We start from the raw sequence: 15,136 nt of genomic DNA, 5'->3' as shown, positions 1-15,136 counted from the left end.
ATATATTTATTATTTTTCTTATTCTTAATTGACTTAGAGAATTGTTCAAAGTAATAATGGTAGCAATGTATTGTGTGATTATAACAGATAAATAAATGAACGAATAACTGCAATGTTCTCTTTAAGAACTGGAAGAAGGAATTGAGTATACTCTGTTATATGTACCTGCACTAGTTGAGAAGTGCTAGTGTTAATTCAAACAAGAATTACATTACTTTTACAATCATATTGCAAACTTTAGGAAACACATTTGTTTTTTTCTTGAGACACGGTCTTGCTCTGTCACTCAGGCTGGAGTGCAGTGGCATGATCGCAGCTCAATGCCACCTTGAACTCCTGGGCTCAAGTGATCCTCCTGCCTTAGCCTCCCAAAGTGCTGAGATTAGAAGTGTGAGCCACCACGCCTGGACAACAATTTTTTAAAGTACAATTGATATGTTAGAAAAGGAGAGAAAAATGGAATTACATAAAATTCTCAATTAAAACCAGAAAAGGCAGGAAAAGGGGTAAAAGGAAGGAAGGAGCAAGTGCAAAAAATTAGAAAATAGTTACAAACATGGTAGATATTAACCCTACTCTATCAATGATTACTTTAAATGTGAATGGTCTAAATACATCAAAGTAAGTTAAAAATCTCTTTTTCACTTGATAGACCAAGCAGGTAGAACATCAGTAAAAATATATATGAAATGACTAGCATCATTAATCAGCTGAATCCAACTGACATTTATAGAATGCTACATCCAGGGACAGCAGAATAATCATTCTTTTTAAGCTTGGAACCTTCACCAGGGTAGACCACATTCTGGGCCATAAAACACACTTTAACAAATTTAAAAGAATAAAAAGTATGCTTTTAGAGCACAATAAAATTAAATTGGAAATCAATAGAATTACATTACATTACATTAAACAACACACTTCTAAATAATGCATAGCTTAACAAAGTCCCCAGGAATTTTATTTTATTTTATTTTATTTTTGAGACAGGGTCTGGCTTTGTCACCCAGGCCGGGGTGAGTTGCATGATCTCAGCTCACTGCAACCTCCACCTGCTGGGCTCAAGCAATCCTGCCACTTTAGCCTCCCAAGTAGCTGGAACTACAGCACATCACCTTGCCCAGCTAATTTTTTTTTTTTTTTTGGTAGTGATGGGGTTTGGCTATGTTGCATAGGCTTGTCTTAAACTCTTTGAGTTCAAGAAATCTGCCCACTTTGGCCTCCCAAAATGCAGGAATTACAACTGTGAGCCATTATTAATGGCCTCAGAGCAAGTTAAGCAAATATTTTTTAATAAATAAATGTGAAATTACAACTTACCAAAATTTGATATAGCCAAAGAAGTACTCGGATGAAAATTTATAGAATTGAGTGAATATTTTTGAAAAGAAATATCTAACATCAATAATCTAAGTTTCTATCATAGAAAACTAGAGAAGGAAGAGAAATCTAAGCTTAAAACATCCACAAGAAAATAAGCAAAACTTGAGTTGGCTGGCAAGGTGGCTGAATGGGAACAGCTCCAGTCTGTAGCTCCCAGTGAGATTGACGCACAAGGTGGGTGATTTCTGCATTTCCAACTGAGGCACCCGGTTCATCTCACTGGGACTGGTTGGACAGTGGATGCAGCTCAAGGAGGGCGAGCCAAAGCAGGGTGGGGTGTCACCTCACCGGGGAAGCACAAGGGGTCAGGGAACTCCCTCTCCCAGCCAAGGGAAGCCATTAGGGACTGTAACATGCTCTCCAGCCCAGACACTGTGCTTTTCTCATGATCTTCGCAACCCACAGATCAGGAGATTCCTTCCAGTGCCTACACCACCAGGGCCCTGGGTTTCCAACACAAAACTGGGTGGCTGTTTGGGCAGGCACCGAGCTAGCCACAGTTTTTTTCCGTACCCCAGTGGCACTTGAAACACCAGTGAGACAGAACCATTTACTCCCCTGGAAAGGGGGCTAAAGACAGGAAGCAAAGTGGTCTGGCTCAGTGGGTCCCACCCCCACAAAGCCCAGCAAGCTAAGATCCACTGGCTTGAAATTCTCACACCAGCACAGCAGTCTGAGATCGACCTGAGACGCTGGAGCTTGGTCGGGGGAGGGGCTGTTGCTGAAGCTCGAGTAGGTGGTTTCACCCTCACAGTGTAAACAAAGCTGCAAGGAAGTTCTAAGTGGTGGACCCCAGCTCAAAAAGGCCATTGCGGTCAGAAGGCCTCCTTTCTGGGCAAGGCCTCTCTGAAAAAAAGGTAGCAGCCCCAGTCAGGGAATTATAGACAAAACCCCCACCTCCATGGGGCAGAGCACCTGGGGGAAGGGGCTGCTGTGGGTGCAGCTTCAGCAGACTTAAACCTCCCTACCTGGCAGCTCTGAAGAGAGCAGCAGATCGACCAGCACAGCATTCAAGCTCTGAAAAGGGACAGACTGCCTCCTCAAGTGGGTCCCTGATGCCCGTGGCTCCTGAGTTGGAGACACCTCTCAGTAGAGGCCAACATACAGGAGAGCTCTGGCTGGCATCTGGCAGGTGCCCCTCTGGGACGAAACTTCCAGAGGAAGGAACAGGCAGCAATCTTTGGTGGTCTTCAGTCTCCTCCAGTGATAGCCAGGCAAACAGGGTCTGGAGCAGACCTCCAGCAAACTCTAGCAGATCTGCAGTAGAGGGGCCTGACTGTTAGAAGGAAAACTAACAAACAGAAAGGAATAGTATCAACATCAACAAAAAGGACGTTCATTCAGATACCCCATCCAAAGGTCACCAGTTTCAAAGACCAAAGGTAGATAAACCCATGAGGATGGGGAGAAACCAGTGCCAAAAGGCTGAAAATTCCAAAAACCAGAATGCTTCTTTTCCTCCAAGGGATCACAACTCCTCGCCAGCAAGGGAACAAAACTGGATGGAGAATGAGTTTGACAGATTAACAGAATTAGGCTTCAGAAGGTGGGTAATAACAAACTCCTTTGAGATAAAGGGGCATATTCTAACCCAATGCAAGGAAGCTAAGAACCTTGAAAAAAGGTTAGGGGAATTGCTAACTGGAATAATCAGTTTAGAGAAGAACAAAAATGACCTGATGGAGCTGAAAAACACAGCAGGAGAACTTTGTGAAGCATACAAAAGTATCAATAGCTGAATCAATCAAGTGGAAGAAAGGATATCAGAGATGGAAGACCTACTCAATGAAATAAAGCAAGAAAACAAGATTAGAGAAAAAAGAGTGAAAAGAAATGAACAAAGACTCCAAGAAGTATGGGACTATGTGAAAAAACCAAACCTATGTTTGGTGTACCTGAAAGTGATAGGGAGAATGGAGCCAAGCTGGAAAACACTCTTCAGGATATTACTTCCCCAACTTAGCAAGGCAGGCCAACATTCAAATTCAGGAAATACAGAGAACACCACAAAGATATTCCTCGAGAATAGCAACCCCAAGACACATAATCATCAAATTCACCAAGGTTGAAATGAAGGAAAAAATGTTAAGGGCAGCCAGAGAGAAAGGTCAGGTTACCCACAAAAAGAAGCCCATCAGACTAAGAGCAGAACTCTCAGCAGAAAGCCTACAAGCCAGAAGAGAGTGGCAGCAAATATTCAACATTCTTAAAGAAAAGAATTTTCAACCCAGAATTTCATATCCAGCCAAACTAAGCTTCATAAGCAAAGGAGAAATAAAATACTTTACAGACAAGCAAATGCTGAGAGATTATTTTCACCACCAGGTTTGCCCTACAAGAGTTCCTGAAGGAAGCACTAAACATGGAAAGGAACAGACAGTACCAGCCACTGCAAAAACATACCAAATTGTAAAGACCATCAATGCTATGAAGAAACTGCATCAACTAATGAGTAAAATAACAAGTTAGAATCACAATGGCAGGATCAAATTCACACACAAATTTATTAACCTTAAATGTAAATGGACTAAATGCGCATATTAAAATATACAGACTGGCAAATTGGATAAAGAGTCAAGACCCATTGGTGTGCTGTACTCAGGAGACCCATCTCATGTGCAGAGACACACTTTGGCTCAAAATAAAGGAATGGAGGAATATTTACCTAGCAAATGGAAAGCCAAAAGAAAGCAGGGGTTGCAATCCTAGTCTCTGATAAAACAGACTTTAAACCAACAAACTCAAAAAAGACAAAGAAGGTCATTACAAAATGGTAAAGGGATAAATGTAACAAGAAGAGCTAACTATCTTAAATATATATGCACCCAATTCAGGAGCACCCAAATTCATAAAACAAGTTCTTAGAGAGCTACAAAGAGACTTAGACTCCCACACAATAACAGTGGGAGATTTTAACACCCTACTGTCAATATTAGACAAATCAATGAGACAGAAAATTAACAAGGATATCCAGGACTTGAACTCAGCTCTGCACCAGGCAGACCTAATACACATCTACAGAATTCTCCACCCCAAATCAATGGAATATAGATTCTTCTCAGCACCACATCGCACTTATTCTAAAATTGGCCACAGAATTGGAAGTAAAACACTTCTCAGCAAATGCAAAAGAACGGAAATCATAACAGTCTCTCAGACAGTGAAATCAAATTAGAACTCAGGATTAAGAAACTCACTCAAAACTGCACAACTACAAGGAAACTGAACAACCTGCTACTGAAAGACTACTGGGTAAATAACAAAATTAAGGCAGAAATAAAGATGTTCTTTGGGACCAATGAGAACAAAGACACACGTACCAGAATCTCTGAGACACATTTAAAGCAGTATGTAGAGGGAAATTTATAGCACTAAATGCCCACAAGAGAAAGCAGGAAAGATCTAAAATCAACACCCTAACATCACAATTAAAATAACTACAGAAGCAAGAGCAAACAAATTCAAAAGCTAGCAGAATACAAGAAATAACTCAGATTAGAGCAGAACTGAAGAAGATAGAGACATGAAAAACCCTTCAAAAAATCTATGAATCAAGGAGGTATTTTTTGAAAAGATCAATAAATAGATAGACCACTAGCCAGACTAATTAAGAAGAAAAGACAGAAGAATCAAATAGATGCAATAAAAATGATAAAAAGGATATCACCACCAATCCCCTAGAAATACAAACTACTCTCAGATAATACTATAAATACTTCTATTCAAATAAAGTAGAAAATCTAGAAGAAATGGATAAATTCCTGGACACATACACCATCCCAAGACTAAACCAGGAAGAAGTCAAATCCCTGAGTAGACCAATAACAAGTCTGAAATTGAGGCAGCAATTAATAGCCTACCAACCAAAAAATGTCCAGGACCAGATGGATTCACAGCCAAATTCTACCACAGGTACAAGGAGGAGCTGGTACCATTCCTTCTGAAAGTATTCCAAACAATAGAAAAAGAGAAACTCCTCCCTAACTCATTTTATGAGGCCAGCATCATCCTGATACCAAAACCTTGCAGAGATACAACAAAAAAAGAAAATTTCAGAATAATATCCCTGATGAACATTGATGCAAAATACTCAATAAAATACTGGCAAACCGAAGCCAACAGCACATCAAAAAGCTTATGCACCATAATCAAGTTGGCTTCATCCCTGGGATGCAAGGCTGGTTCAATGTATGCAAATCAATAAATGTAATCCATCACATAAACAGAATGAAGTGATTCATTTCATCCACTAACTTTCAAGTCAACATCACAGCCTCAGCTTTTTATGCCAAACACCTCCTTCCATTCATATTCTGTTATAGTAGATACTGTGTTCCAGGGAAAAAAGTAAATAGCTCAATTTATGTGCCATATGAAACCTTACAGATTCTCAGTGTCACATCTCCTGTTATCTTTTATTGAGATATCCTCATAGAGCACAAGCATGGAATAGTAAGAAGATCCTTGGATTTTACATACATTCATATTCACTCTTTGTGTTGTAAAGTTCTATAGGTTTTGACAAATGCTTAATGTCATGTATATTAGTGAAAGCCAGGGAAAAAAGGGTTAGAAGAGAATAACTGCAAATTAAAACAAGAAAAGACATGACAAGTATTTTTTTAAGCATTTAGGTTAGCAAAATTTGAAACTATAACAGAATTTGGGGTTCATGGCCTTTACAAATAAAAATAATCAATAGCAAATAATGCATATTCTGTGTTTGAGAATATAACAGGAGCAAAATTACTAAAACTAGTCTCAAATTTTGTTCTTTGTCACTGTTGCAACTAGAAGCAAACATTACTGATGCCTAGTGAATAAGTGATAGCTGGCAGTTCATCCAGAATTGTTCACTTGCAATCGGTAGGCACAATGCTGTATGTGGCAGCTCTTCATTTAGGTTAATTTACTGTAACTCACGTGTATTAATATCCTAGTAAGCTCCCTGTTGTCCCATTTCTGGCAGTGTGTGTGTCTCTTCTTCTCTGTATGGGATTCCCTTGTGAAATATTTGGGAACTCTATCATGGAAAGCATCGAGAAGAGACTGCTGTTTGGAGGAGTAGTTTTTTCTATGATTGAGTAAGTAATCTGTTGAAACATGATAAAAACATGTAGTTTGGATAAATTGTCTCAATATTAATTGAAAACATTATATTGGTATTTTTATTGAAAAGAAAACCATTGAGTGAATATAATATCACTTGCTTTTCTTACTATATTTTATTCCCAAATTTTACAGATGTTTATTATGTTCATATGAGGTATAAGCCACGGTGGTATATATTTAGCAATCCAATTTGATTGTAAGAAATTCTCTTTTCACCAGTATAATGAAACAGATACATCCTCCTAAAAACAGCTATGAATGTCTGATAAACTCTACAGTTTTCTATTTATTTGTTAATTTATTTTCATTAGGATTACTCATGGATTTATATTTTGTGCAATGTATTCCATAAATATCATTGTTTATTTTTGGTTCCCAGTGTATATTACATTTGTTCAGTGAGACTGTCTTAAATCTGGAATTTATGTCTTTTTGATGTGTCTCCATCATTCTTTGAGTATTTTGTTATTGAACACAGTAGAAGATATTTCAGGCTCATTTATTAACTTTCATATCTCAAGCTTGGAGTCAGCTTTTTCTTCATAAAGCCCTGGCAAACTTTAATGGAAAATGGTATTTAGAAACCAAGATCAGTGTACTAGGTGTGCTCATTTTCTACCTGTCATTGCTCCTAGGCCCTCTTTCTTAGTGGGCAGAGAAACGGAGTATGACATACGTCATATCATTTCTTCATCTATTTGTTTATGTCTATCTGTCTTAAAAACTATGAGTTCATATTGATATTTCAAATTCCCAAATGTAAGAAACTGGGATTTCATTATTTTCAAAATTTTTATTCATTTGTTCAAGCCTATAACACACAGAAAGTAGTTTCAAAATTACTAAAATATTACTACAAAAAAGAAATTTGATATTTATTTACTATTCTATCTTTTATTTGGATAAAATTTACAAAGTATGAAATGCATTAATGAAGGCTTTAACTCAATTTTGTCAAAAGCTAACAGCCATGTAATCCCCATCCCTATTAATATATAGAGCATTTTTATTACTTCAGAGAATTTTTTCATGCTCCTTTCCAGTTGTTCTCTTTTCTAAAAACTTTAAGTTTAGGGGTACAATTGCAGGTTTATTACATAGATAAACTTGTGTCATGGTGTTTTTTTTTTTTAAATTATACTTTAAGTTCTGGGGTACATGTGCAGAATGTGCAGTTTTGTTACATAGGTATACACGTACCATGATGGTTTGCTGCACCCATCAACCCGTCACCTACATTAGGTATTTCTCCCCATGCTATCGCTCCCCTAGCTCCCTTTCCCCCAACAGGCCCAGTGTGTGATGTGTCCCCACCCTGTGTCCACGTGTTCTCATTGTTCAACTCCCACTTGTGAGTGAGAACATGCGGTATTTGGTTTTCTGTTCTTGTGTTAGTTTGCTGAGAATGACGGTTTCCAGTGTCATCCATGTCCCTTCAAAGGACATTAACTCATCAACAAAATACTGAACAGACCGCTCTTTCAGTACTTTAAATGTTTCATTTTACTGCCTCCTGGCCTGTCTGGTTTATCCATAGTTATATAAAACAATGTGGACCATTAACATGCCATTTTTCGCTGGATGCTTCCAATAATTTTTCTTCATCTGTGGGTTTTAGTGTTTTGAATCCACTGTGTCTAGGAATGGCTTTCCTTGAGTTTATTCTGTTTAAGATGGCTGAGCTTGTTAAATTTATAAATTTATGTCTTTCACCAAATTTGAAAAGGTTTTGGTCACCATTTCATCAAATATACTTTCCACACTAATCTCTTGCCTCTCTTTCTGGGACAAATGCTATTATTTTTTGATGTTTTATAAGTTTCAGAGACTGTTATTTTTCAAGTTTTTCTGTCTATTTTTAAGCTTGTATAATTTCTATTGATCTATCTTCAAGTGCATGGACTCTTTATTCTGTCATCTTGATCCAATCAAGTGAATGCGTTTTAAATTCATTTATTATTAATATATTTTTGTACCAAAATTTATATTTTTAATACAGGTTTTGTCAGAAGAGTACTTAAATTTTTCTGTTCATTTCAAGTGTTTTCCTTTACCTCAAGAAGCATTGTTATAATAGGTGCTTTAAAGTTGTTAACTAATAATTTCAACCTTTAAGCCATCTTGAAATCGACATTACTTTTACCATTTGGAATTTGTCACATTGTTCTAGTTCTTAGTATGTCAAGTAATTTTGGATGTATCTATGAAATTTTGAAAAGTATATTGTGGGGTTATTGCTGCTGTTAATACTCACTTCAAAGTTAATTTTTGTTTGTTTTTGCAGACAATAAGCTTGGTTAGGTTTGATCAGTCTTGTATGTCAACTTCTGTGGGCAATGGTTCTAATATAAGTTCAATTTTCACAGCTTTTTCTAAATGACTGAGCTCTATATTGCCCATGTTCCTTTTAGTGGTTAGTCTTGGATTTGGGCTGCAGTTGACTTTATAGTTAGTTCTCAGCATGTTCTGTGTTGTTTTGGTTTTATCTTGCGCAAGTTCCATTTGGGGATTAGCCCAAGAGTTTTATGAGTTAATATGCACATTTAGCGCATCGTTTTCTCCGGATCACTTAATGTAGATTTTCTCTATGTTACACTTTCCAGTTCTTGGTTCTCTGGCTAGAAAAATAGGTTTTATTCTCAGAAACTTTGTTTCTCACTATGACTGAGCTTCACTCTCTTGGGATCACCCTCAGGACTAAGCAACAAGATAAAAAAGCATAAAAAGTTAATAAAGACTTCCTTCAGCATTTTAACCACAAGTTCTTCTTTTCCTATTCTCTCTCACCAGAAAAATAAATGTCCTGTCAAGGCATTCCTTCAATGACATCTTGTCACACAAGTCTATATCCAAGGCTGCCCACAAAGTGGAAAAATGGGGAAAATGTGAGTTCTCTCAAATCCTTGGTTTATTTTTGTTTGATAACTCTTACTAAGATTTTTACAAATTGTATATTTTCAAAAAACAGATATTTGTCTTTGTTAATTTTCTTAAATATTTTTCTTTCAAAGTGTTCTGTTCTTATTTTCGTTATAGCATAAATGTTCTTTATGCATCTCTAAAATTTTGATATGATGTATTTTATTATGATTCACTTCAAAATATTTTTAAATTTTCTTTATAATTTTTCTTTGACTTACATGTTTATTCTAGTGTATGTTGATTAATTTCCTTATTTGGAATATATCTCAATATAATATTGCCTTTTTAAAAATTACTTTTTTATCTTATGGCAATATTGTCATCTTTGCATTTTATGTTTACATATTTTCTAATGTTCTTTAAAAATAATTGGTTTTATAATAAGAACTGTATATATTTAAGGTGTACATGTGATGATTTGATATATGTATACATTATATAATGATTAGCACATGAAATTAACACACATCTATCACTACCCATGGTGAAAATTAGATCCCCAGAACTTTTTCATCTTATAACTGAAAGTTTGTATCCTTAAACTAACATCTTCCCATTTCCCTCACACTCCAGTCCCAGGCAACTACCATACTATTCTCTGCTTCTATAAGTGTAAGTTTTAATTTTTATTATTAATTTTTTAACAGTGTCTCACCTTGTCACCCTTGCTGGAGTGTAGTGGTGTGATCATGGCTTACTGCAACCTTATCTCCTGGGATTGATTGATCTTTCCACGCCTCCTGAGTGGCTGGGACTACAGATGTGCACCACCATGCACCACTATTTTTTTTTTTTTTTTTGTATTTTTCTGTAGAGATGAGGTTTTGCCGTGTTGCCCAGGCTGGTCTTGAACTCCTGGAATCAAGCAATCTACTCACTTCAGCTTCCCAAAGTGCTGGCATTATAAGTGTCAGCCACTGTGCCTGGCTCGAGTTTAACTTTTACAGAACTTACATCTACATAGATGTGAGAGCATGCAGTATTTGTTTTTCTGTGTCCAGATTATTTCACTTAACAGAATGTGATCTAGGTTCATCCATGTTGAAACAGAACAGACTCATAATAATTGCTTCAAATTCATTGTTAAATTTTACATCTGGGTAATCTCTAGGTTAGTTTCTATTCATCTCTTTTTTATTAAAATTCTCATGTATATTATTTTCATGTCAAGTAATTTTTGAGTAATTACTGAGCATTTTTATAACATAGAATCTCTTTTTCCTATGCCCTCTGCATATAAGGATGATGTTAAAAATAGCTAAATTTCTGATCTCCAGCCTCTTTTTGTTGTTCCCAATTTGATTAGATTTAGGTTATATAATCATGTTCTTTTGAAATGACCTTATATTCCTCATTGATATAGAGTCCCATCAAAATCAAGCAAAAAGAAAATACAAATGGAAAGAAAGCATTTTCAGAATTAATTTATTATATAACATTTATAAAAACTTTGATTTAACTAATGCTTAGTGTGCAGACAAAAATTTAATTTACTGTTTTGTTTTTTTGTTTTTAGTAAAATACTCACTTAAAGTATGGTTATATCTTCTTTTAAGGTATTAAGAATTTTCTTAACTAAGTATAAGAACAAAATTTGCTACAAAACTATAAGAAATTTTATATCAAATTTTTGTTTGTCAAGCAGAATAAAACCATTGACCCCAAAAAATTATTAGTAGAATTTACCGATAAATAATAAATAGCAAGAGATGAAGATTTACCAATGACAAGAAGCCTAGAAGATATTTTTTATATGAAACATTATATGGTAAATATAAAACAGATAAAGTAATTTTTTAAAGTCTTGAATATTAAGAAATAAAGTAAATAGCAATAAAGAATTACTAATTGGGTTTAAATGAATATAGTCCCCCTTTAATATTTTGTTATGACTTTTGTAATTTTTCATCAGTGTTATTTTTATAAATACTCATCTGAAAATTCAGAAGAAACAGACAAGATGATATTTTGTTATTGTCCACCTCTGCCTTAAAGTTAAGCATAATGTCATACTAATTTAAATGAATATAACAAATATCTTAGTGCTTTGAAAATGGCCAGAATTAGTTGTACATATTTTTATTCATTTGTTTTAATTTATAAACTGCAACCCATGGCCTCTGAGTTCATGTGCATGCTAAAATTATCAGAAAACAAATTATAAATAGTAATCAGTGACCTCTTTCTTAGCCACTGAACTTTACCAATGGCCTGACCCAAGATCCCAGGCCTGAAGGCCAATCAACTTGTCAGTTCATAAGGCAAAGAAAATTTTAAATACAATCCCCTACATGAGGAATTGCCAAGCAATAGTTTGATAAAGCTGAGTGAGATTCACTGGCTGCTGTCTGTAGTAGCCAGATAGCAAATTTTAACTGTGAAGTATAGAAGCAAAATTTGCCACAGTGATCTTATAGAAACTATTATTAGTTCATGTATTTAATTCATTTTTTCTAAATCAATTTACACCAATAAATACAATTGAATAATTTAGAATGTCTGTCCTGAAAATAAGTTTATTTCAAGAAATATGATTTCATTTTTAAAAAGGTCTTCATGTTGACAAAATTAACCCAATAGCAGTTGGCCTGAAACCTATAATAAAGCTTTAATTTCTTAGCTTTTACATGTTCCACATTTCAATATAGTGACTAGATTTCTGAAAACAAAGCAGTTACTTAAAATTATGAAATGAAAGGAAATACTTGCTTTCACGTGTAATGTTTGATAATTGCAGCTATTTTATTTTCTTCCTACTTTCATCCATGTGGTTAAGATCTTTATAAAACTTTAATGTCATTTAAAAAGTGAAGGACTTGCTCATCTAAGGCCCCACTCTCAAGAATTATTGAGAAAAAATGTGATATGAGATGAGGTGGTGGGTGGTGGTAGTGAGAGAAAGAAAGGCCAGCAAGAGAGAGACTCAGAAAAAAATGTTCTTGAAAATTATTCAAGTACAAAGTAGGATCTCCTGAATTCAATCAAAGCAACCTAGAAAATAGGAAAAATTCGACAAAAACCCAAGGTTTAAGAAGAGTACTATAAGTATTCGGAATGTGTACTACATGCAAGAAGAAATTTTGGCTTGTATCAAAGTCGGAATTTTTTGGACTAGGCAATGAAGATAGTCTATCCTAAGACAACCACGAAAAATAAACAATGTAGAAAGAACTATCAGCAGCATATTTAGTAATATCATACCAAAGTGTTCAGAAAAACTTTGCTTTGATTTGACATCAAAGGCAGGGAAAAAATGTTAGTATCCAGTTCCAATTTCTATTAGAAATTAAGATACTTCATTAAGATTTTAGTGCAATTAACCCATCTGGGAGCACCACATAGCACTCTCTTTTCACCTGGTTTTATTTTCCACTCAATTATAAGTCAGTTTGATTGCTACTAATTACTTTAGTCAAGTGGATTGTTGTTTTTGGAATGTATTATATCTGCAGGGAAGTTTGACAATTTCTATATATTTAATTTTTGTGTGTATAATATAGTTTCTCTTTTCCCAAAATTGAGATTTTATTCCTCCAGTTTATTTTTTAAAAATTGAAGCATGGGTAATACAGAATACAAACTGAGACACTTTGAATCTACTTTAAGTTTGGTCATATTGCTTATTAGTAAGATCATAAGGAAGCAAACATTAATAAATTATCGAACAGGCCAATATGTCTGAATGTAACTGTTTAAAAGCATTAAAAGAGAGATATTCTCTTTATTGCAGAAACAATAAATCAAAAAATTTAAACTGAACATGAAGACTTTATTAAATTCCAAAGATGAGGAAGCTACAATTTTTCCCATACTATACCTCATAAATTTGACTTAAACTACAGAGATCATTTGGTAGCAATATCCTTAATGGTAAATTCTAATTGTCAACATTAAAGTGAAAGAAAAAAAGGTGCTGAGGTAAGCAAAGTGTAGCATTCTTGTTTCAGTATATAGTTTTCTTCTGTAAATGTAGGAAGAATTTCTATATTGGCATAATAACCTCTATCAAGAATCATTGTTCAGCTCCAAGTGTCATTAGAAAGGTTATAAATTTAACCTTTCCAATTTTGGCAAATGGAAAAATTTGGGACCTTAGGCTAGGATACTCAGGTATTCAACTTAATTCATAAGAAATAAATGTTTAGCAAGCAGGGTGTAGAACCATCTATTCAGAGAAAATGATTCCAAATACATTTACTTACAATACTTATTCTTATTGGAGACTAGTTTCAAAACTGAGCAGAGGGCTATTTCTTGAGAATTATACCTAGTAATACAATTCAAAGATATTTCTCTTCACAAAAAAACCACACAATTATTTCCTGTAGTTGATATATACAGAAACTAGTTATGCATTTAATTTATTTTTTCTAGATCCAGTTACACCAATAAATATAATTGAATAATTTAGAATGTCTATCCTGAAAATAAGTTCATTTCAAGAAATATGGTTTTATTTATAAAAAAGTCTTCATGTTGACAAAATTAACCTAAAAGCACTTGGCCTGAAACCCATAATGAATTTCTAATTTATCTTCACAAAAAACCACACAGACAAATATTTCCTGTAATCTATATATTTATTATAAGATAATAGCAATTATAATAATAATATTGAATCTGAATACAACACTGAATACACCGAAGCACTGAATGCAACACCAATAAGTCTATGAATTTAAATTTTTGAATCTCCCTAAAGTACTGCTTATCAAATTTAGGCTTCTCCTACCCCAAACATCTCTAATAACATAAAACTAGCATAATAATTAGACGCTAATCTAAAAAATGCTTTGGTTGTGCTGAAAAGTCTAGTAAAGTGAAGGTAGAATACATCCTCTAACAGGATTGGGACCAGAACACCGCATAAGAGGGAACACAGAACAAAATCCCTTCATTTGGAACGAAACTCTATCCACCTACAATGACCTTTATTTTTATTTTATTTTATTTTATTTTATTTTATTTTATTTTATTTATTTTTACAGGTAAATATTTTATAGTGTTTCAGCTTTACTGTCAGGGTCCAACTTTTTTGTTATTTTATTTTACTTTAAGTTGTGGGATACATGTGCAGAACGTGCAGTTTTGTTACATAGGTAAACATATGCCATGGTGGTTTGCTACACTGTCAAACCATCACCTAGGTATTAAGCCTTGCATGCATTAGCTATTTGTCCTGATGTTCTCCCTACCCCACTCACCGACATGCCCCAGTGTGTGTTGTTCCTCTCCCTGTGTCCATGTGTTCTCGTTGTTAAACTCCCACTTATGAGTGAGTACATGTGGTGTTTGGTTTTCTGTTCCTGGGTAAGTTTGCTAAGGGTGATGGCTTCCAGCTTCATCCATGTCCCTGCAAAGGACATGATCTTGTTCTTTGTTATGGCTGCATAGTATTCCACAGTAGGTATATACCACATTTTCTTTATCAGGTCTATCATTGATGGGCTTTTTGGTTGATTCCATGTCTTTGCTATTGTGAATAGTGCTGCAATAAACATACATGTGCATGTGTCTTTATAATAGAATGATTTTTATTCCTTCTGGGAAAATACCCAGTAGTGGGATTGCTGGGTCAAATGGTATTTCCAGTTATAGATCCGTGAGGAATCACCACACTGTCTTCCACAATGGTTGAACTAATTTACGTTCCCAACAACAGAGTAAATGCGTTCCTATTTCTCCACAGTCACAACAACATTTGTTGTTTCTTGACTGT

The 15,136-nt window shown here is 34.9% G+C and overlaps 1 long non-coding RNA gene across 1 annotated transcript in view; it reads left to right on the top strand.

Annotated features, from left to right (window-relative positions):
* Positions 1-12,946, top strand: part of LOC105373703 (uncharacterized) — a 158,249-nt gene extending 145,303 nt beyond the window's left edge. The window contains exon 7 of the long non-coding RNA XR_007088689.1: positions 9,286-12,946. This is a non-coding gene — a long non-coding RNA (uncharacterized LOC105373703). The remainder of the gene's footprint in view (positions 1-9,285) is intronic.
* Positions 12,947-15,136: the final 2,190 nt, after the last annotated feature.

The sequence above is a fragment of the Homo sapiens genome, chromosome 2 (genome assembly GCF_000001405.40).
Source record: "Homo sapiens chromosome 2, GRCh38.p14 Primary Assembly".
NCBI classification, from domain to species: Eukaryota; Metazoa; Chordata; class Mammalia; order Primates; family Hominidae; genus Homo; species Homo sapiens.
The sequence above is the reverse complement of the archived record's forward strand: the minus strand, read 5'-3'. Positions and strand labels throughout refer to the sequence as shown.